The sequence below is a fragment of the Homo sapiens genome, chromosome 3 (assembly GCF_000001405.40).
Source record: "Homo sapiens chromosome 3, GRCh38.p14 Primary Assembly".
NCBI lineage: Eukaryota > Metazoa > Chordata > Mammalia > Primates > Hominidae > Homo > Homo sapiens.
In genome coordinates this window covers 114143064-114166526 of record NC_000003.12, presented here as the reverse complement: position 1 = coordinate 114166526, position 23463 = coordinate 114143064, and the positions used below count along the sequence as shown (strand labels likewise).

At 42.7% G+C, this 23463-nt stretch overlaps 1 protein-coding gene across 4 annotated transcripts in view, besides 3 other annotated features; it reads left to right on the top strand.

Annotated features, from left to right (window-relative positions):
* DRD3 (dopamine receptor D3) overlaps positions 1-23463 on the top strand; it is a 71828-nt gene that overhangs the window by 32881 nt on the left and 15484 nt on the right. For all 4 annotated transcript variants that reach the window (NM_033663.6, NM_000796.6, NM_001282563.2 and 1 more), the window contains 2 exon segments: positions 6660-6772; positions 18970-19112. In NM_033663.6, the coding sequence (NP_387512.3) occupies positions 6660-6772; positions 18970-19112 (256 nt within the window).
* Positions 11210-11719: an enhancer, noted in NCBI's record as "OCT4-NANOG-H3K27ac hESC enhancer chr3:113873655-113874164 (GRCh37/hg19 assembly coordinates)". NCBI's record gives its function as "activates a minimal SCP1, AML or CMV promoter by ChIP-STARR-seq in primed H9 embryonic stem cells {active_cell/tissue: H9 hESC(primed)}" and the evidence as "EXISTENCE:reporter gene assay evidence [ECO:0000049][PMID:30033119]".
* Positions 11720-12229: an enhancer, noted in NCBI's record as "OCT4-NANOG-H3K27ac hESC enhancer chr3:113873145-113873654 (GRCh37/hg19 assembly coordinates)". NCBI's record gives its function as "activates a minimal SCP1, AML or CMV promoter by ChIP-STARR-seq in naive and primed H9 embryonic stem cells {active_cell/tissue: H9 hESC(naive and primed)}" and the evidence as "EXISTENCE:reporter gene assay evidence [ECO:0000049][PMID:30033119]".
* Positions 13587-14120: an enhancer, noted in NCBI's record as "OCT4-NANOG-H3K27ac-H3K4me1 hESC enhancer chr3:113871254-113871787 (GRCh37/hg19 assembly coordinates)". NCBI's record gives its function as "activates a minimal SCP1, AML or CMV promoter by ChIP-STARR-seq in naive H9 embryonic stem cells {active_cell/tissue: H9 hESC(naive)}" and the evidence as "EXISTENCE:reporter gene assay evidence [ECO:0000049][PMID:30033119]".

Below are 23463 nucleotides of genomic sequence, written 5' to 3'. Positions count from 1 at the left end.
GGTGGGAGGGCAGAAGAGAGGCAAAAGGGGAATGAACTTGTCCTTTTATAAGGAACCCACTCTCACAAAAACAACATTAATCCACTCATGAGGGCAGAGTCCTCAAGGATAATCACCTCTCGTTAGACCCCATCTCCCAACACTGTTGCACTGGGGATTGAGTTTCCAACACATGCCTTTTGGGGGACACAATTTATAGCATAAGGGAAGGAGAGACTGCTTGTTAAAAATACAAACTGTTGGCCGGGTACGGTGGCTCACGCCTGTAATCCCCACACTTTGGGAGGCCGAGGTGGGTGGACCACCTGAGGTCAGGAGTTTGAGACCAGCCTGGCCAACACGGTAAAACCCCGTCTCTACTGAAAATACAAAAATTAGCCAGGCATAGTGGCAGGTACCTGTAATCCCAGATACTTGGGAGGCTAAGGCAGAAGAATCGCTTGAACCCGGGAGGCAGAGGTTGCAGTGAGCCGAGATTGTGCCACTGCACTCCAGCTAGGGCAACAGAGACTCTGTCTCAAAAAAAAAAAAAAAAAAAATACAAACTGTTGGGTCTACCTCGGGTCTACCAAACCAGCATTTCCAGGGCAGCCCTGGAAGTCTAGAGTAAGCCCCAGGCCCCACTCCCACCTTATGTGACTTGTGCAACCAGCTAGTCATCTGCTACGACATTTGGGAACCAATAAGCTACAAACCCCCTATTTCATAGATGGAGAAATGAAGATGCAGAGAAGTGAAAAATCCTTATTTATTATTCTGTTTTGCCCCACAGCAACCCTCCCACCAAGAAATACTCCAAATGTGGCAAACAAAAATGGACTGAAGAGGCTAATTAGAGAAGTACTTCTATCTTTGCCTCTTAGATATTTCCAAATAACTAAAAATTCATCCCTTTAGAGTTGGAGTTCTTAATCTGGGGAGTTCATCAACTTGGATGTAAATAAAACTACTCCTTTATTTTCCCTGAGATGAAATTTAGAATTTCCTTTAATTCCAAATGTAGGTATCAACCCACAGCAGAAGAAATCTTTAGTGTCACCAGTAGAAATCACAGATTTTTTTTCTTAACTTTTTTAACTTTCTTTTTTTTTCTTTTGAAATGGAGTCTCACTCTGTTGCCCAGGCTGGAGTGCAGTGGCGCAATCTCAGCTCACTGCAACCTCCACCTTCCGGGTTCAAGCGATTCTCCTGCCTCAGCCTCCCAAATTTTGTTTAACTTTTTAACCCTCCTTCCTGCACACTGATGATATTTATATTTTCAAACCACATTATGATTGTTGCGGACATCTTGAAACATCACTTATACTCATCATTTCTTTGAAATTATAGGAATTTTGGACCTGCCACTAGATCTTGTTATTTAATGAATTATTAAAGAAACACATATATTTTAAATACTTTGACAATTATATTTCAATAAAACTGATATCCTTTATGAACCACTGTATTTATTTCATGCTTTAAAAACATTCTTCTGGCAAGGCGCAGTGGCTCATACCTGTAATCTCAGCACTTCGGGAGGCCGAGGTGGGTGGATCACCTGAGGTCAGGAGTTCAACACCAGCCTGGCCAATGTGGTGAAACCCCGTCTCTACTAAAAATACAAAAATTAGCTGGGCCTGGTGGCATGAGCCTATAATCCAGCTACTTGGGAGGCTGAGGCAGGAGAATCACTTGAACCCGGGAGGTGGAGATTGCAGTGAGCCGAGATTGTGCCACTGCACTCCAGCCGGGCGACAGCGCGAGACTCCATCTCAAAAAAGAAAACAGAAAAATAAAAAGAAGAAAAGCATTCTTCTGAGAAGGGGATCATGAAGCTAACGAAATCCACAGGATAAAGAATGCTTAAGAAAACCTGCTTTAGGAACAACAATTTCTCAGGATCATTTTATGCTCCCCTTAACCCCAGACCAGTGTTTCCCAAACCAAGACAATAAGAATCACTTGAGGGACTTATTACTCTGAGCGAGGCCTAAGAATCATTTTGTTTAACAAGAGTGTCTGGAGATTTGGGAAATGCTGCCTTATAATCAGTAAATTTGGGGAATGCTGCCCTAGGCTGTGTCTATTGAAAATCAATAGACAATTTCAGTACCTGAAGACACTTTCCTGCTTACTCAACTTCTGTATTGCCACAGGGAGTTACTTACATTCATTAGCAAGTAAGAGTAACACCACCTGGTTGCTGTATAATTCTAAAGTGAGTTATTCATTAGAATGCAGGAGAAAGAATCATGTCTCTAAAAAGCCTCAAGTCAATTTGATTTTTTTCACTTTTTTTTTTTTTTTTTTTTTTTTTTTTTTTTGAGACTGAGGCTCGCTCTATCACCCAGGCTGGAGTGCAGTGGTGAGATTTCGGCTCACTGTAACCTCCGCCTCCCGGGTTCAAGCAATTCTCGTGCCTCAGCTTCCCAAGTAGGTAGGATAACAGGCGCCCACCACCACACCCAGCTAATTTTTGTATTTTTAGTAGAGACAGGGTTTCACCACGTTGGCCAGGCTGGTCTCGAACTCCTGACCTCAAGTTATCCACCTGCCTCCCAAAGTGCTGGGATTACAGGTGGGAGCCACCACACCAGGCCTTTTTTCACTTTTATCTGTTTTAATTTCAAAAATCATTTTGCCTTTCATAATCTTCCAACACTTTGTACCTATCTCACCTTTGGTGCCTATCACATTGCCTCATAGCTGTTTTTTAAGTACTTATCTCCCGGGCCCTCAGTTCACCCATACCCATTCACACATCACTTCTGGTAATAGGCACACATTGTATTCTGAGATCCTGGGAACAAAAACAGGTTTGTTTCAATACACCCGCCCAAGCAAAGTATCAGACATATCTTGGGCACTCATTAGACCATGGCTATAGGGGTAATGGATGGACACACACCAACTCTTCTACCTCCTATGATATTAGAATAGAGTTAAATTGTACACATCTCTGAAGAGGCAAGCCACTATACTTTGAGAGGCAGGAAGAGTAATGGTAATATAAAGGGGTCAAAATCCTAGCTCCTTTTACAAGCTATGTGTCCTTAGGCAAATTACTCAACCCTTCCAGGTCTCCATTTGGCAAATTACTCAACCCTTCCAGGTCTCCATTTCTTTACCTATAAGTTAAAAATCACATTTACCTCTTCAGGTTGTGATGAGAAAATGTGTGAGAATTACCAGCATATTCTTGGCACCTAGATGCACTTTATTGATCCCTTACTATTTGTTGCTTGATATGGAGGATGTCAATAGAAAAAAAAAAATTCATTACAAGTCCCACCAATTAGAGACTCATTTTAATGAGTAAGCTCCAGGGAAGGCTAAGTGATGGCACCTTAGTGGGAATTATTTTAATCAGCTAATCAGATTGTTTTCTTCTTGACTCTTAGCTGAAATCAAGGAGAGAATGAGAATTTTCATGGCAGAATCAGGAGACAAGAAAAGAGGATAGCCAGAATGGGATGACAGGCCATTGGGGGCCTGGAAGCCAGAGAACAGCTTGAGGGCTTTGTCCTTTGGGGGCTAAGCAGGAGGGGTATTAAATAAAACTGTCTGTGTACTTTCACCAACCCCAAAGGCAGCACTTACCACTGTCTCTTGCACTATTCTTTGAACCCTGGGATAGAGGCAATCAGGAGAGTGTCTCTTTCCCTAGAAAGGAGATGATATGGTCTGTCACACAAAAATCCCTGAGGAACACCTGGTTTTCTTCTTTCCCCTAGTATCTACCCACTTCCATCCCTTTTCCAACAACTATCCCTCCTCACCTAACACTTCCCTATAGCAGGGTGTGTAACAACCTACATTCCAATGCTCTGTCTCCCTGTACTAGCCCTGTGACCTTGGACAAAGTGCTTATTCTTTCTAAGCTTTTAGATTCTTCCTCTGCAATGAAGATAATAATCCTCTGTCATAGAATTATAATCGGCAATAGAGGCCACGTATGTAAAGTGCTTTGCAGAACACCAGGCACTTAGTAAGCGTTCAATAAATGTTAGCTATTATTATGACAGATTATGTCAGAGGTCATTTATTATTTCAGAATATATTTTCATGGTTGGGCCCTGCTCTGGGAGCTGGGGGTGCAGCAGCAAACAAGTAAATCTTCCTGCTCCTGTTGGTGTTGGTTAAGTAACAATAACTCCATCCCCTATCAAGTAAATGTATAACTTGTCTTCAAAAAGCTTTAAGAACACATACAATAAAAACAAATTCAGTTTTCAAAGTCTGAAGTTTCAAAGTTATAGAAATTCCTGGAATGGGTCATGTGGGTTGGTAACACATGTACAGTGAATTCTCAATAAATGTTAATTCCTATTAACAATATTAGGATATCATGATGATCTCTAGTATTTTATTGATGAATGCCTTACTTCTCCAGTTATCTTGTAAATTCTTTAAGGATAGGCCCTGTAGTACATTTTGTAAAACCTCTCAACACACATGACATACACTGCTGCAAACCAAGTACTAAGAGCTTCACAAGTATTTGCTCTACAAGTGCATGAATGAATGAATATCCAGCAAACACTGAAGTTTGCTGTTATCCTAACTATCCTTTCTCACCTACTCTAGCCCAAAACACAAACAAACATGTGCTCACAATTATGCCAAAAAGTGTTTTTTTACCCAATTTAAAACATTAACTGCAGAGTAGATATAATATTGAAATAAAATTTAGTATACAAAATCAGCTTTTGCAAGACGCTTTTACAGTATGCAACTGTCCTATGTAATGAAGAAAACCTTCTTTTATTCTCTTGGTTCCCCTAAATCATTGTGTTATTATGACTCTTTAGATCGGAATTCTTATGTCTCAATCTTTTAAAAGCTTTTTATTCTCAGAATTCCTATAAATTCATATTCAGCCTTTATTTATATAGAGCCAATTGGTCAAACTAAAAGAGAGACAGTAAATCCATAACTGGATTTGACTTCTTCACTAGTTTTAATTTTCATTGTTGCTTTTAAACAAAAAATCATTGGTCAGGGTTTCTCAAAACAGTCTGGAGATGACCAAGCACAGGAATAAAATGAGATGCAAAAAAAGAAATAAATCCAATGGGAAGAAGTTATCAGGGACAGGGAAGGAAAGACGGCCTTTTAGGACCTTATTTTATTGGGATAAAACAGAAATGAACACTAAAGTGACCTGGTCATATAAGAAGATCCTTGGATGAGAAAATCCAGATGAAGGAATAGCACTATCTTTATGCACAGTCATTTGGTCAGTATCTGTTTTCTTATTGGGAAGCTACTTCAGAGGCTACTGTACCATTTTTCACTCTTTCTTCCTCTTAAATGGCCATTGGGCCTGTTCAGGAGCGGTATTGTGAATACTCAGCTACAGCCAGAGGCACAAAGCCTGGCAGGTTTCTCCCCGAGAACTAGGGTCCCCAAGAATGACAGCCCACCCCCCCAGGAAAGAAGCTGGTAACTGCACAAAGCCTCGCGGTCCATGAGTGGCCTTTGGTGGACATTTTAAAAGTGTCAATCTCCCTGACACATCTTCCTGATTCAATTAGGGTATGTAAAGGTTTCAAAAATAAATAGAAATATACTAGAGTATAAATGATATTATATAAATTCCTGACTGTAAGCATTACTCAGAGGATGTTATGGAGCTTGAAATACATGTATAGATAGATGCATGAGGTTGAAACCATCCTCATGAATTCTGAGTAGTGGAGAGAATCCAGCCCTTTTCCCCACTTTTGGTTTTTGGGATGTGGGTGGGGAGGGAGAGTGTTGAAGGCAGTCACATTGGCACAGACTTATTTTACATAGATTCCCATAAATGTTGTTTCAGAATGTTTCCAAGCTTTACAAGCTGAAGCCAGATAGATTTTTACTTTGGAGGTAAATTTTATGAAAAATGTGTTCTTAGCTTATTTCTTGAGTGCATGATGAGCTCTCTACTGGGTGAAGGACTTCAGAGAGACAGTTTTGGCACAATGTACACATCGGGTAGTCACCGAAGTCCTTTTACCACCAGCTGAGCATCTATGAGGAAGTTATCACTTAACCACAAGGAGCATTAGTTGCCTCCTGAGTTTGAATTTCAACAGTGATTCTCAAACCTTGGTATGTATAGGAGTGTTTATTTAAAAATGAAGATTTTAGCCCAGCTTGGTGGCGCATGCCTGTATTCCCAACTACTTGGGAGGCTGAGGCAGGAGAATCACTTGAACTGGGGAGGTGGAGGTTGTGGTGAGCCGAGATCGCACCATTGCACTCCAACCTGGGCAACAAGAGCAAAACTCCATCTCAAAAAATAAAATAAATTTAAAAAAAATAAAAAAGAAGATTTACAGACCAAAGAGCCAAAGATTCTGACTCAGTAGGTATAGGAAGGATTCAGAAATCTACATCTTTAATAAACACCCCACTGTGGACCACACTTTGAGAATCACTGGACTAACTGACTTGGAAGATCACTTCCAGCATTAGCATTCTAACATTCTGTGAACTTGTCCTTTCTTTAGGCAACCAGTTTTGGATAGCCTGGCACTCCCTTGATGTCCATCTGCCCTGTGGGAACAACGGTACACAGGGAGTAGGAGTGCCAACATCTACACTAGGCAGCAAAGCAAAGAAAATAGGGCCAACTGGGTTGTCGTTCCTTCACTGGGGTAAACACTAACATCCTTGTCTCTGATACCCAGGTGACAGGTGGAGTCTGGAATTTCAGCCGCATTTGCTGTGATGTTTTTGTCACCCTGGATGTCATGATGTGTACAGCCAGCATCCTTAATCTCTGTGCCATCAGCATAGACAGGTAGGGCTGCAATTCCCCTTCCAGGTGGCCCAAAAGCTGGGGAAGTGGGGAGAGACAGATTGTGCACTTGAGGGTACTGGGGTCACCTCCAAGTAGAACTTGACACTGGAACATTTTCTTTCCTCTCTTTTTCTTTTAAAGTATGGTTTGCAGGTGAGAAGAAACCCCTGCGACAGGTGGGAAATAACGACCCTATAAGCTTTCCTGGCCTTTCTTCTCCTCCAGCTCCCTGAAGAGGATTCTGGTTTTGCTTTTCCACCATCCTTTGGGGTTTTTTTTTTCTTCCTAATAGGAAGGAAAGCTTCCCATTAGGGAGGGGGAGAAGGAGGAAAGGTGAGCTGACTGGGGTTGGTAGGAAATTCTGTTGTTGTTTTGTTTGTTTTTGTTGAAGGGAGAGATGGAGAGAAGGTGGGAGAGAGAAAGAGAAAGAAAGAGGGGCAGGTGTAGGGATAATTTTTGAGGGGGAGAGAGGAGAGAAGTGGGGGAGAAAGGCAATTTTAGAAAGCATGGCTGTGATCTATATGTTTCTCTCATAGAGCTTAGAGAAGCAAGTATAGTATGTTTTTTAAAATTACATTTTGGTTGCTGGGGTGAATTGCTGTGATTTTGACTCCTCTCTCTGTGTGTTCTGCCTGAGTAACATTGCTTTCTATCCCTGAGAGCACCTGGACTCACCACCCTTGCTCTGGGTCCCTCTGTTTCTCCCTTCCCCTCTCCTTTTGTCTTCCTCTCTTCTTTCCCCTTTCCTCTGCCTGAGCCTGAGATTTGCCTGGCTCCCCTGGGACATCACCAGCCTCACTGAGAGCCCTGGGGGAAAGGAGGTCACTTTCAAGCCTATGGCCCTTGCTGCCAGTCAAAAGCCTCCTCCCATTCCTGCTCTGAGTTCTCTCCCTCCCACTTTCCATTCCGCTTCTTCTCCTTCTCCCAGTAATATCATCCATCCACCTCATAGCTCCAACAGGTGACCCCAAATAAGATCTGCCATTTATTGAGAATTTATCACATTGTGCTAAGCTTTGACACACATTAACTCATTTCATCTTCACAATTCTTAGGTACTGTTATTATCTTATGTATTATCTTAGGTACTGTTATTTTATGGTATAAACATTGGCTACCTTCAAACAGGGACCACTGAATTCAGCTGAATACTCTTTGTTCAAGACTCTGTAATGGGCACAGCAGGGAAGGTCACAGGTGATCAGGAGCTAGGTCTTGTAGAAGAGTTTGGGGTAATGATAATAAAGCAAACCAGCTGCAGTCCTCTATGTCTGCAAATAATGCACTCCTGAAAATGTGTACTAAATGTCTAGAAATTACACAAAAGACTTAGATATTAGAGCTAAAAATATTCTAAAATCCCCAACTCTTCACTTTTTAAAACAGCTTTATGAAGATATAACTCACATACCACACAATTCATCCACTCAAAGTGTGTAATTCAATGTTATATTGGTATGTTTACAGACTTATGCAATTATATTCCTTTTTTTTTTTTTCTTTTTTGCAGAGATGAGGTCCTGCTATGTTGTCCAGGCTGGTCTCAAACTCCTGGACTCAAGCAACCCTCCCATCTTAGCCTCCCAAGTAGCTGGGATTACTGGCACATACTACTGCATCTGGACCCCTCTTTTTTTCTTTTTTCTTTTTTTGAGATGGAGTTTCACTTTTGTTGTCCAGGCTGGAGTGCAATGGCACGATCTTGGCTCACTGTAACCTCCACCTCCCGGGTTCAAGTGATTCTTCTGCCTCAGCCTCCCAAATAGCTGGGATTACAGGCATGAGCCACCACATCTGGCTAATTTTGCATTTTTAGTAGAGATGAGGTTTCTCCATGTTGGTCAGGCTGGTCTCGAACTCCCAACCTCAGGTGATCCACCCGCCTCAAACTCCCAAAGTGCTGGGATTACACGTGTGAGCCACTGTGCCTGGCCTACCCCTCTTTTTTAAACACACTCTTTAATGGTATTATTTTCAGCATTGTGGACATGTTCTTTAGCTTTCTTCTCAGTTGGCTAGCCAACCAAGTGATATAAATAAAAAATCATCCAATTAGCTGATTGGTTTGCAGGATCACCAGAGCAAAGTGTGTTCATATTCATTTTTTTGGTTATTGTTCAAAATTCCCACTTCAGCATGTAAAAGGAAATGTGAGGCTGTTGCTACAGAGGGCACAACACTGGGCCAATTGAGGGGGCCTGTGCTATGACCTCTAGAAAAAGCAGGCTGGAGATGCCACAACATAGTGACAGAGAAAGCATTGTGAAGTTCAAGGGTGACTGAATCAGACTGTGGGAATGTGAAAGGGCTTTATGGAAAAGAGGATCATTGTGATAGACTTTGGAGCATGAGAAGGGTATGGGGCAACCTGGGAAGAGATGAAATTGAAAAGGGGGATTGAGGCCAGGCACGGTGGCTTACTCCTGTAATCCCAGCAATTTGGGAGGCCGAGGCAAGAGGATCGTTTGAGGTCAGGAGTTCGAGACCAGGCTGGCCAATATGATGAAAACCCATCTCTACTAAAAATGCAAAAATTAGCCGGACATGGTGGTGGGTGCCTGTAATTCCAGCTACTCAGGAGGCAGAGGCTGGAGAACCGCTTGAACCCGGGAGGTGGAGTTTGCAGTGAGCTGAGACTGCACCATTGCACTCCAGCCTGGGCAACAGAGCAAGAGTCTGACTCAAAACAACAAGAAAGAAAGAAAAAAAAAGGAGAGAAAGAAAAAAAGAAAGAAAGAAAGAAAGAGAGAGAGAGAGAGAAAGAAAGGAAGAAAGAAAGAAGGAAGGAAGGAAGGAAAGAAGAAAGGAAGAAAGAAAGAAAGAGAAGGAAGGAAGGAAGGAAAGAAGGAAGGAAGAAAAGAGAAGAAAAGAAAGAGAAAGAAAAAGAAAGAAAGGAAGAAAGAAAGAAAAGAAAGAAAGGAAAGAAAGAAAGAAAAAAGAAAGAAAAAGAAAAGAGAAAGAAAGAAAGAAAGAAAGAAAGAAAGAAAGAAAGAAAGAAAGAAAGAAAGAAAAAGAAAGAAAGAAAGAAAGAAAGAAAGACAGGCAAGCCATATTGTGGAAAACATTGAATGCCAGGCAGTGGAGGTAATTCTAACTTTTATTCAATAGGCCAAGGAGGCACTGAGGGATTTTGAGTAAGGCTTTACTTCTAAGGGAATGATTTTGATAGTGCTATGAAGGACCAGTTAGAAAGTGCAGCAGAATTTCAGGTAAGGGATCATAGGATCCTAAAATAAATAGGAGGAAACAAGAAAGGAAAAGTAGGGGAAATTTTGAAAAAAAAAACGGCAAAAGGTCTGTAAACACCAACCTCTTGAATATGAAAGATTAGGAAGAGAAAGGAGTCAAACAGAACACAAGATTCCAGGAGAAAGATGCTGTCAAGAAGAGATCACCATGTCGAGACGATTTGGTGCTTTAATGGTTTGGTTTTTAACATCTGGCATAATAGGAACAAGTGGACTATCCAGGAAGTAATGTGATCTGGAACTCAGGGGAGAAGGCAGGGATGTAGTTGGAGATTTAGGGAGGTTAGCACAAAGTTTAAGATTACTAACTTGGAGTCAAATAGACATGAATTCTAATCCTGGCACCGCCCAGTACTAATGGTGTGGCTTTGGCAAATTCCTTAAATACTCTAAGAAGTTGGAAATTGAAGATAACAACAGTACCTAAGAATTGTGAAGATGAAATGAGTTAATGTGTGTCAAAGCTTAGCACAATGTGATAAATTCTCAATAAATGGCAGATCTTATTTGGGTCACCTGCTGGAGCTATGAGATGGATGGATGATATTATTGGGAGAAGGAGAAGAGGCGGAAGGGGAAGTGGGAGGGAGAGAACTCCAAGGAGGAAAGGGAGGAGGCTTTTGACTTTTGGGAGGAGGCTTTCGGAAAGGACGTCAGAGAATGGGAGAGGGTTCGCTTTGTGAAGAGGGAGAACTGTGTAAAGAGAGCCCCCTCAGCCCTCGTAGTTCCTGAGCCTCCTCTCTTCCCTCTTGAGAGTGTGCCTATACACTCCACCCACCTATATTCTTATGCACTTAGGGCTGTGGGTGAGGTTGTGCAGGTTGTTCCCTGCGCAAGGGTGTGGAAATGAAATTCAGCTATCACTCCCTTTTCCAAGCCTAGAGTTGGCCAGAAGAGGGTGCTTTTCTACGATTTGCCAGCCAGGAGAGGGCGCCTTTCTTTAATTTGCACAAGAGCACCATTTTGCGGCCAGCAGCCATGCCTAAAACACACCTCTAGTTTTTACCACTTAAAACGCAACCAACAAGAGTAACTTTGAATTGGCTTCTGTCCCATATAGGAAAACTCCGAGAATACACAGCACTTACCTACCTGAAGGGACCAGCCATGCCTTAGATCCCAAGCGAAAACGAAGCTCCCTTCTTGGCTCATAGTTCTATATGGGCCAATGAATTCTCACCAAGCCTCAAAATGGAGCCCCCTCCTATTCTAGAAATGAAAACAGGCCTTGGAAAAGCTGGGTTCATTATTCTTCACAGCAGTTTGCATTACATTCTGTTCATGTGATGACAAATAGCTGGTCAATTCATTAAAAATGCAGTCATTCACGCAGACCTTTGGTCTTCACACAATGCCAGTCACCAATCTGACAAACTTAACCAAATGGATTCAGTATTTTTTGGTCATGAAGCCCTGATCTATAATAATGCTGTGGAAAGAGATATGAAAGAAAAGGAAATGATAAAAGGGTTTTTGAAAGCAAGTAATACTATTGTCATTAGATTCTTAGGCATAGCTCTGATGCTTGGATTAATGCTGCCATTTCGTTTTTAAAAAGCAGAGTGGGAAGTCCTCGGAGCACAAGCCCCCACTCCTTTAGCTCCTTGCCTCCCCAGGGAGCCAGCCCTCCTCCCATCACATCCTGGGTCCAAACTAACTCAGGGAGAGGGCTGAGAATGTGTCAGAAGAGGAGGACACGACCAAGTGGTGAGAATTAGAGTCCTCCGAGAGGAGCCCAGGAATAATGCAGCCAAATTCATTCACCAGGGAGTTCTTTAAGTGGCTCTCAAATGGCACCCATCACACAGGCAAGCCTCCGCGTCTTTGCAGCGAGCACAATAGGTACCAGATGAGTCACAGGCACCTTGGATTTTTAGTTTGCATCTAAATAAGCACTTTATATTTGCAAAAGGCTTTCCAGTCATTTGCAAAAAGCTTTCTCCTTCAACAACTCCAGGAGGGGAGTCCACAGAACTAAAGATATATTGAGCCCCCTGTCTGACCAAATAAAAGATGGTGAAAAGCAGCCCTCACAGAACTCTGGGGCTCATTAAACCCAGGCGGGGAGTTAGAGTCAGGCCTTCCCACCCAGGCTGGCCTCTTTCCTCCTGGACTGCTAGCTTCCTAAAGAGCAACCCTTGTCAGCACACACACACACATACACACACACACACACACACATCTCCCACCCTGGGACAGGGCTCTGAGATTGAAATCAAATTCTGCAAGGTACTGAGACCTTCAGTAAGTGACCAACCATATAGATCCTGCTCATAGGACCGGAAGTCAGAAGGGGCAACATCCTGCTCATAGAACCAGAAGTCAGAAGGGGCATCACAGTTATCTCATTTAAGTGGAAATGCTAAATGCTTGCATGAAGTGCTGCAGCCTCTTAGCACAGGTGTGGGACTAGAAATGGAATCTCCTGACTTTCCACCAGCACTCTATTACAATAAGTGACACCTTCATTGGTGAAGGTGAGGATGGGGCACCTATGTCTTCAATGCCCTGGCTACCTCTATGCTAATGCTAACTTACATGAGTCTGGAAGCAACAATAATAAAAATAGTTAACATTTATTTAGCATGTACTATGTGCCAGACACTAAGAACTCTTCATTCATTATTGCTAACCTTCACGACAACCCAGAGAGAGAGATGTAATACCCTCACTATATAAATAAAGGTGCTGAGACTAGAATGGGTAGGTGAGCTTGCCGAGATCACACAACTGGGTGGTGCAAGAGTAAGGATTCAGGCAGCCTCTGTCTATTACAGCACACTCCCTTACTCAGAGATGCTGAGGTGCGAGTCTGGCTCTGGGCTCCCTAGCTATAGAGTCACACTGCCTGGCTAAAAATCCAGGCTCTACAGTTTAATAGCAATGTGACCTTGGGCAAGTCAATTAACCTGTCAGAGCCTCAGTTCTCTTATCTGTTTAGTGGAGATAATAACAACTACCTCAAAGGGTTGTTAGGAGGATTAAATGAATTAATATTCGTAAAGCACTTCAAATAGTGCCTGTCACATAGAAAGTGTCATGTACATTTTTGGTGGATAAATAAACAAATTTAATATTACCTGATATCAGGAGGAAGGGGAAGACAACCATAAACTCACTGATATGAACAATCACTGATCCCTTGAGCTAGCACAATAATTATGACAACAATAACAATAATAATACCGTCTTTTGAATGTTTAGTATTAATCACTGGGCACTGTGACTTAAAAAAAAAAAAGGTTTACAGAGAAAATATCATTCAATATTCATTACAGCCTTTTCGGGCAGAAATTATTATCCCCATTGTACAGATGAGAAAATTGGATCTTAGAAAAAACAAACCACTGGCCCATGGCTACACAGTTCAGTGGCAGAGCCGGGATTCAGAGCTGATCAGTCCGTTTCTCATGCCCGCGGACTTAATCACCAAGCACACTGCCAGTGCTGGGGTCAGCGGAGTCATCCACACCAGAAACGGCCCAGGGAGCTAAGAGCTCAGACACAAGGGGAGGGTCCCTGGCTCAGGGTCTGCAGGGGCGGCGCGCACAGTGCGAGGCTGGCAGGTCCGGACCTGGGAATACCGCCGCGAGCGCAGCGGCCAGATGTTCAGAGGTGGCCCTGGGCCAAGCCTCTCTCTCCCGGCCAAGCCCAGCCCAGCCCTCCGGGTGCTTTGGCGCGGCCCTCGCCTGCAGTCGGTCACGTGCAATCGCTCCGAGAGGAAGTCAGAGGCTAAGCGGTCGGCCTGGGTGGGAATGCAGGGTCCCTGCAGGGTTCCAGGAAGCAGGGCGCCGGGCTTTCCCTCTCTGCCTCCCCACAGAGCCTGGAGAGCCCCCAGGTGAGCAGTGAACTTCTCACCCCAGCCGTGCTGGCAGAGTTCTTGCTGCATTATAGTGCCCTCCGATGGCCAATTCCGGTACAGCCTCCCTGTCGCAGTCGGCTTATGACAAGCGGGGGCCTCATTTATTCTAACAGTTTAATCATGTTTAAAAAAGAGCAAGAAAAAAATTACTGTAACAGTGTTAAATTGTAGTCTTGTCTCTTACTTCTTATCCAAGTGAACAAAAATCTTTGTCACAGAAGTTTTCCCTAATGCAGACTTTCTCAAAACCTGTCTAATCATAAGATGCACTTGCTTGTTAAAAATACACATTTCTGTTCTCACTGATATGTGGGAGCTAAGCTATGAGGATGCAAAGGCATAAGAATGATACAATGGACTTTTGGGACTTGGGGGAAGAATCCCCAAGGAGGGGGATTCGAGAGAGGACTTGCATCAGATGAAGGGGAGTGGGGTGAGGGATAAAAGACTACAAATATGGTACAGTGTATACTGCTTGGGTGATGGGTGCACCAGGATCTCGCGAATCACCACGAAGAACTTATGTAACCAAATACTACCTGTACCCCAATAACTTATCGAAAAATAAAATAATTTCAAAAAAGAAGAAACAAAAATGCACATTTCTGGGTTCCACTTCAGAAGTACTAAATCAAAATCTCCAGAAACTAAGCCTGATATTCTGCATTTTAACAGGACCCCCAGGCAATTAACAGAATCGAGCGAATTGAGGAAACTCAGTTGTGGGCGCACGCAGTGCTCTGCAAGCGGTAACCACCCTTGCCATGCTGACTTCACTGAGGAAGCCCTTGTCCCCCACAAGAACTCAGAGAGCTGTCGATGCCCTCGAGAGGGAGGAGGGCACTCAGGAGAAACACACCTCAGAGGTGGGAGACATGGCTCTGCCACAATTTGCTGCAGAACCTTGGGCTCATAACTGACATCCTTGCATCTCTGCTTCCTCCTTTATGGGATAGAGCCAGGGTTCCCTACACTTGTTGGCCCACTTCATTAATGGAGCCTCCAGGGAGTTGCTGAACATTATAGCATATTTAGGAAAGTATATAACTCTCAGTGGTCTGCTGAAGCCGGCTTATCATGGCTAGCGAGAGCTGATTGGCAAAATTTTAGAAACTTTTTGCATCAGTTATTAAAGCTTTGGTGGTAGCTTAAAATAGGCCATGGTGGGAGTATTGACACCACAGAAATTGGCAAATAATACAAATTAGGGCTTTTTGTAAACTACAGAGCCTGTTGTTAGCCATTTACCAGCACACCACTGAATACACAGAAGGGTCAGGCTCTTTTACATCAAAGGACATTATGCAAGTGGAAGGCCTGGAGAAAGTGAGTTACAGTATTCCTTCCCCTCGCTGTTCAGTCATGGCAGCAGCAGGACTCAAGGCTCAGCCCCTCCTCCAAGGTGCCTCATAGTTACCACTAACAGCGAGGCCCTTGTAGACATATTGTACTAGAAGCCCCCGGCAGAGTCTAAAGCTCTGAGGAGAGTCAGAGGCCTAGAGAAACACCAGCTGCTACTTGACCTGCTCTTGTATAAACCAAGGAGGGGATTTAAGAGAGGACTTGCATCAGATGAAGGGAACTAGGTTGTTGTAGCCTCCCAAGAAGTGGGTAGCAGGATCTTAATTTGACTTTATCAAATTTTTCCCTTTTGAGAAAGAAGCCACCTTTGTCATACAGCATGGTGTCAAGGCCAAGTCCTGCACAGTTTACCTTCATCTCAGAACTCACAGCTAACTGTAATCTGCCCTTCTGGGAATGCAAATGTTACTACTCTACAACAAGATGCACAAGAGGCAGATTCGGGCAGTGCTGGCGCATAGGAGCAGGGGAAACACACAGGAGGAGCCTCAGGAAGCCTTGCCCGATCCCTTCGAGCCCAGCATCTGTCCTTCCTTTCCTTAATCCCAGGCCTTGAGGTGCACAACAAGGGTTAAGGAGGCTCCAGGTTCCTTGGAAACTGACAAGACAAAAAATGTTGAGCCATTGGTAGATCCAGCTTATACCTTAGATCCCTGAGCCTGGCCAGGATTAGAAGGGAAGGAAGCCTTCCCCTCTTACAGGAAAGGAGGCCTTCGTGACCCATGAGGCAGACAGTTAACAGTTTCTTATTACTTTCTTTGTACAAGGACCTATGGAAAATATCAAGGTTGTAAGAAGATTTGATCCTGAAGTAACTAAAATTATATGGAGCTCTCTCTCTCCAGCCACGAGGCAAATTCAGTCATGAGGCAAGACAGCTGCATGCAGGAGGGCATTGTAATTGATTTGCATAGAAGTGCTAAGAGTTCATAGTTAGAAGTCTCTGTACATGATGGAAAGAAGTGGGAAGGTGGCTGGAAAGTTCATCTGAGATTAATGGAGGGCAAGATTGAGTTGCCCAGGGAGGAAGAAGGAATGATTAATTGAACAAAGACACCAGTCTCTGACTATTGAAGAGTACTCATTACCAGGCCAGTGTGGCTGGAGCTGTGAGTGTCAGGATCAGTGGGAGGTCAGATTGGCAACGTAAGTTGAGGTCATGTTGGAGAAGGCTGAGCTTGGTTTATAGGTGAAAGAGGAGCCATCAACAGTGTATTCATTTTCTATTGCTGTGGAACAAATTATCACATATTTAGAGGCTTGAACTGTACCCATTTTTATCTTGCAGAGTCTGTAAGTCAGCACTGTGTACACAGTGTAGGTAGGTTCTCTTCTCAGGATCTCACAGGGCTGAAATCAAGGTGTAGACTGGGTTGTGTTCTCATCTGGAGCCTGAGGTCCTCATCCACACTCACTCAGGTTGTTAGGAGTATTCAGTTCCTTGCAGTTGCAGGACTGAGGTCTCTACTTTCTAGCTGACTGTCAACCAGTGCTGTTCTCAGCTCCTGTAAGCCTTTTGCCATCTCCTAAAAAATGACCCTCTCCAAAACATAGCAGTTTGCTCCTTCAAGGCCAAAAGGATAATTTCTCAGTCCCCTTTAAGGGCTCACCTAATTAGGTCAGGCCCACTCAAGATAATCTCCCTTTTGATTAACTTAACCTCAACTGATCAGTAATCTGATCACAGGAGTGATATTGCATTATAGTCACAGGTTCAGCCTACACTCAACGGAGGGGATTATACGTGGCAGAAATCTTGGGGCCATCCTAGAGTCCTGCCTATCTCAGATAATTTTCAGGTGGGGAGATGGGGAGACGTGATGAAATTTATTTTTGGAACCTGGCAGCAGGAGACCAACGAGGAGGCTGTAGCCATCATAGAAATCAGGTAGCAGGAAAGGGATAGGTGGATAAATAAATGGGGAAGATATTGCAATGGATAAATTTACAGGACCTGGAATGTTCCTCCCCCGTCTGACCTCATGGCTGGCTCCCTCTCGTATCACTCACTTCCCTGCTCACTCTGTGTTAGTTTTACCTCCTCCCTGGTTCTCTAACACATCACCCAGTGTATTTCTTTCATGGTACTCTTCATTTTATATTAACATATTTGTTTCCTTTTTTATTGTTCATTCACTCCACTTAACTCTAAGCTCAAAGAGAACAGGGACAATGTGCCTTTTGCACACCTCTGAATACCTGGAATGAGGCCTGGCGTATAGTTGGGACTCAATAAATATTGAATAAAGATTAAATGAATAAATGACCAAGGCTGAGCACAGTGCCTCACACCTATAATCCTAGCACTTTGGGAGGCCGAGGCAGGTGGATTGCCTGAGTTCAGGAGTTCGAGACCAGCCTGGGCAACATGATGAAACCCCATCTCTGCTAAAATACAAAAAATTAGCCAGGCATGTTGGCAGGCGCCTGTAGTCCCAGCTACTCGGGAGGCTGAGGCAGGAGAATTGCTTGAACCTGGGAGACAGAGGTTGCAGTGAGTTGAGATCGCGCCACTGCACTCCAGCCTGGGCGACAGACTGAGATTCCATCTCAAAATAAATAAATAAATAAGCAAGCAAGCAACTTATATGAAAGGGTCCAGGGAGAGTCAAAAGGTCTAAGTACTGGGTCTGGATGTCTTCAAGAAAGGCAGTCAGTGAAACCAGATTGAGAGGTTTGGGGAGTTGGGGAGATCAGTTTTAGACATCTTGAGTTTGAGTTGACTGTGGAACATTTGTCCAGCTAAGTCCTACGGGCAGCTGGAAATGCTGGTGAAGAATTGTCACAAAAAAAACACAAAGATGTCCAATAATAGTAAGGAACTGGGCTTTGGTTATGTAAAAGAATGAAAACTGGATTTTAAAATAAGCCTTCACTGGACATTCCTCATTTCTATTTTTAAAACATCTACTACTTAGAGGAGCTGTCACAATGAAGGTTATAATTTATATTAGGATACAAGCAGGAGGTAAATATCCTCTTTAGGTATGTTCTATCATTGTCTGAAAACCTGCAGGAGACGGTAAAGGCACACAGACCAGCACCCAGAGTGTTCAGAGTGAAGGGTGTGTGACAGTAAGGCCGGTTATGCTGGGTGATCAGGTAGAACCGATAAAGAAGCTCTCCAGCAATCCAGTGATCCTGTGTTAACTTTTTTATTCTTCCCTTTCTGAGTTCATCTCCCTCAGTAAGTTCTTCATTTATCTTATCTCAACCTTTCTGCTATTTTTGACCTTTCTGCTTTTCTCTCTTCCTCTAACTAAATTATATTTCTCATGCTATATGTATCAACCTGATTATTTCTCTACGAACTTCTTTCATCTGGTCTTTTGAAAAGTTCCCCTCACTGGACTTGGTGGCTCACGCCTGTAATCCCAACACTTTGGGAGGCTGAGGCCAGAGACTTGCTTGAAGCCAGAGAGTTGCTTGAGCCCAAGACTTTGAGACTAGCCTGGGCAACAAAGTAAGACCCCATCTCTACAAAAAAATAAAATAATTAGGCAGGCGTGGTGGCGGCACAGGCATATCCTAGATACTCAGGAAGCTGAGGTAGGAGGATCTGATCCCAGGAGTTGAACTGCAGTGAACAGTAATCATGCCACTGCACTTCTGCCTGGGTGACAGAGTGAGACCCTGTCTCCAAAAACAACAACAACAACAACGCAGAAAGAAAAGTACCCCATTCCATCTCACCATGCCTATCCCCTCTCCCCTTGCTTTTTCAGGTACACTGCAGTGGTCATGCCCGTTCACTACCAGCATGGCACGGGACAGAGCTCCTGTCGGCGCGTGGCCCTCATGATCACGGCCGTCTGGGTACTGGCCTTTGCTGTGTCCTGCCCTCTTCTGTTTGGCTTTAATACCACAGGTAACAGTGATGGCTTCATTTCTAGCATCCATGTGATTCACAGCACAGCTGAATGACTGGCTGTGAGTTGTGCTCAGCCCTGCAATTTCTGACCCCCGGTCAGTGTACTTTGCAATTAAATGAGAATGCCACAGAATGCAAAGCTTTGGCCTTTGTGGGTTATAAATAAAATATAAAGCAAAACCTCATCAATTATTGGCACAGGGGGTAAAGTTCTGCCCCAATTAATGAAAAGTCTGGCTCATCTTTATTTTGAAAGAAATGTCATTGTATTCATTTGCAGAAATGTACCAGTTAAAAAAACCAAGATATATATTAATAATTCAGGCAAGGTTTGCTAATAAAAAGATAACAATTCATAACAGACCTACAATGCAAAATAACACATTGTAAAAGTCTTATAGTAGGATATATACTTCTAACTTTTTACTCAATAAGAATAATTTCCAATTCTTCAGAACTAACCAGTATAGATTCCCAAATTCCTGGAGAGTATATTTTCTATTTTTAATATAAAAATTCTGGGTATGATGGTTGGCACATGGTACATCTCCTGGGTGGATGGATGGATGGACAATATATATGTCTGAAATGCTCGGGATTTTAAGCATGACACCAATACCTCAGATGAATCAGTGCCTTCTGTGTTTGTACCATGTCCATCTTTTAGCCTCACTAATTTTTTTTCTTTTTCTTTTTCTTTTTTTTTTTTTTTTGAGACCAAGTCTCATTCTGTCACCCAGGCTGGAGTCCAATGGCACAATCTAGGCTCACTGCAACTTCTGCCTCCTGGGTTCAAGCAATTCTCCTGCCTCAGACTCCCAAGTAGCTGGGATTACAGGCACCCACCACCACGCCCCACTAATTTTATATTTTACCCTGTTGGCCAGGCTGGTCTCAAACTCCTGACCTCAAGTGATCAGCCCGCCTCGGCCTCCCAAAATGCTGGGATTACAAGTGTGAGCCACCGCGTTCGGCCAGCCTCAGTAATTTAACGTGTCGAATGAAAGGTATTAAACCACATAGTAACATGATGGGTATTGACAATATACACTGCGTGCTAAGGAAAAGCTGCTTGATTAGTGTTCCAGTGGTCATCTGGATTTCTTATTTTGTCCATTTGAATTGATTCATTCAATGCCTATATTCCAGGTTTGTAAATGTCTAGTATATATGTACCAGTCACATAGCCATGTGCTTGTGTGTATGCAGATATTATATGTAACATATTACATATAAATACAGGCAAATTCTAACTTTAAGTAATCTTCCAAGTGTCATTTGCTGGACAATGATTTAGAAATCAAAATATATTTTGGAAGATAGGTATAGGCTCTGGAGTAAGTAAAATCTAAGTCCAAACTCCAAATCAAAGTCCAGACTTACTAGCTGTCTCTCCTTAAACAAGTTACTTAACTTCTCTGAGTTCCTCATTGGTAAATGTGGGATAAAATTACAGTGGAGCATACACTTGAGTGAATTAAAATAAGTAAACTTGATCTACATATTTAGTTAAGACATTTTTAATATTTATTTTTATATATGACCCCCTACAAATGAGCCCAGCAATTTCATCTCTAAAATTATATGTTCCATAGGAACTCTACAATATATGATATATTACTATATGTACCATACAACTTATTACTCTGCAGGGTTATAATAAAACCATGTATATCTTTACATGTGATTCAGATTTTCAAGGCAAATTTGGAGTCTATATAATTTTCACTTTATTTATTGACTTTAGAATCTAAGACTACATATAACTCCACTCCAACTTCTTCAGAGAGATTTTTGCCATTAAATGAGGATTAAATTGGGATAACATATGTAAATATGCCAAGCACGTACCGCCTACTCAAGGCTGGCTTGTTTCTCTGCCACAGTAAAGGGTAACTAGCCAACTTATCAACAAATATTTGCCTGTTCAACCCAGGCTATTCTCAAAATATGGTGATGTTATCTTTGCGTTACTGTTTACCTTTCATTACTTTGTTATTTTAACTGAATGACACTTTATACACACAAACATGCACACATTGCCCAGTACAAAGCAACATCCCTTAACACAGCTACAGAGGCTGACTCTGTGGCACTAAAATATCATTTTTCGTGAATGCTAAATGTGCTTTATGAGTTAGTCTGATAACTAAGTCACCTTCTGTAACCTTGTTTCTATATGAAAATGCATTCTTAGTTGGAAATTCTAGTGTGGGAAACTCACCACTGCTAGACCAAGGCACTTCTTACCCTCTAGCCAAAAGCAAATCCCTGCCAACATCTGCTGGGCTGACTGTGGTTCCCCTGACTCATTCTTGGTGGAGGCGGTCTTATTCACTCTCACAGACACACCACACTGGAAACAGTTGAAACAATCTCAAAAGCTGACATTAGACTGAGTTCTCGGTTAATGTCGACATCCAGAGTGAAGAAGAATGATGAATTTGCAGTGTTGTTGCCCCCAGTGAGATCATTATTGTTCCAGAAACAAAATTCAGGAAAGTTTTTTCCAAAAGGATTTTTAAGTATAGAATTGAGAAGGCAGAAAAGGCCTGTGACTTAGTATGTGCGCTCTCACTTCTCTCTCGTCTCTCACAATCGCTCTGTCTTTTACATTTAAGTTTATTAATAGCACTCTAGCAAGCCTTCCAATTATTCATATATTGTGTTAAAGTGTCAGGTTCCATTGTAAGAGCTCAGTAGATATTAGCTGGTGTTATGGTTGTTATTATTTATTGGAAAAGTTTATACATCAAAATGTAACTATACATCTGCAGTCGTAAGAGTTCTGCTGATGGTTTTAGAGATCAGTCGCCCCTTCCTAGAACACAGTTAGGGGATTTAGTAAGTGAAGCTCAGGCCCAGCTGTCCTCCTCTGCCTCAAGCTGACCTTCACTGTACAGCTTCATTATCTTGATAGATGTGGGTTCCTGCAGCAATTCTCTCATCTATAAGGAAGTTCCCAACTTCATTTGAAAGCCCAATATAAAGGACTCTTCTCAGTCATTTTTTCTACACCTTCTGTGGAAAATCAAGGGGGAGAGGGCAGGATCCTGCCAATAACACCTGATATTGGAAGCAGCTGGACTTTCACTAATAAGTGCAACACAAAAAAAGAACTTTCTGGCAGAGCTCTTCTTTTAATGCCATGGGCTGCCACACGAAATTGTGAATTATTAGAGAACATAAGATACAGAAAAGTTGAACTTCAGTCTCTTCCAACTTGGAGTTGCTCCTGTTCTCAGATGAAAGGTCAATATGAGGCAGGGTTTTGGGTGAGAGAGTTCCGAGGCAGGGGCCTGGCTGGCCAGGGTTGCCTTAACTCCCAGCAGAGGCCCAGCAGTCTAGGCAAATATCACATCATCAACAGACCCTGATACAGCAGAGCATGGTGTGCTGGTGCCAAAGGAAACTCTGAAGATGCCTGAATGAGCAGCCCAACCCTTTCATTGCATAGATAAGAAAAATAACTAGTATTTAAATTCCTGCTAAATCAGAAAGCTATTGTGTTATTTTTAAAAATCTAGAATGAATAAGCAAAGAGTGAATAAGCTGATGATAAGAGTTTAAGAAATCTTCAAGGGAGGAGAAACTTAAAGTTAAGAAAACTCTATCAGCTGGCTTGATTTTCCTTTGAAAGAAGGAAATGGAGGAGTGCTATTTATTTGATTTCATCAATAGAACATCTCACCTAGTTTTCAGAGCACTGGAGCTAGGTTGGGGGAGGGGGAGCTTAGTTGCACAAAAAGTTAAGAGAATAGTAGAAGCACAAAATTAAAAGAATAACAGGCCCATCCTAAAATCAGATTCATTGGCACCGCATGTCTTTGGAATCAAGCTGGGGTCAAATCCATCAATGAATTTGAAGTTCATGAATCTTTCAAGTAAACCTGCTCTGAGCCAAGCTGTCCACATCATGGTGGGTCTCAGTTTCCCAAGACAGCCTGCAAAAGCCTCATAGATGCCTTTGTCTTTTTCACCCAGCACAGTGCTTTAAACATAGTACGTACTCCACAAAATTTGTAGAATGAGTAAATAGATGACTCTTCATCATCATCCTTTCTTCCTGAAATGTTGAGATTAGTTGGGATAAGCATCTCTAATCTCAGAGGAGGAGTAACCTCCCCTCCCCCGGCACAGGCCTTCTCCATTATCCTCTGGTCAGTGAGTGCTCATGTGTTTATATAAAATGCTCATTTGTACATTTTGCTCATTTATTTATTATTTATGCACTTGCTCAATAACTATTGTGCTAACAAAACAACACTCTTGCAGTTAAATCATCAAAACAAGGCACCTCATCTCCTGGGGAAGTGTCAGCTTCTGGGGGGCATTACAGCTTTCCTTA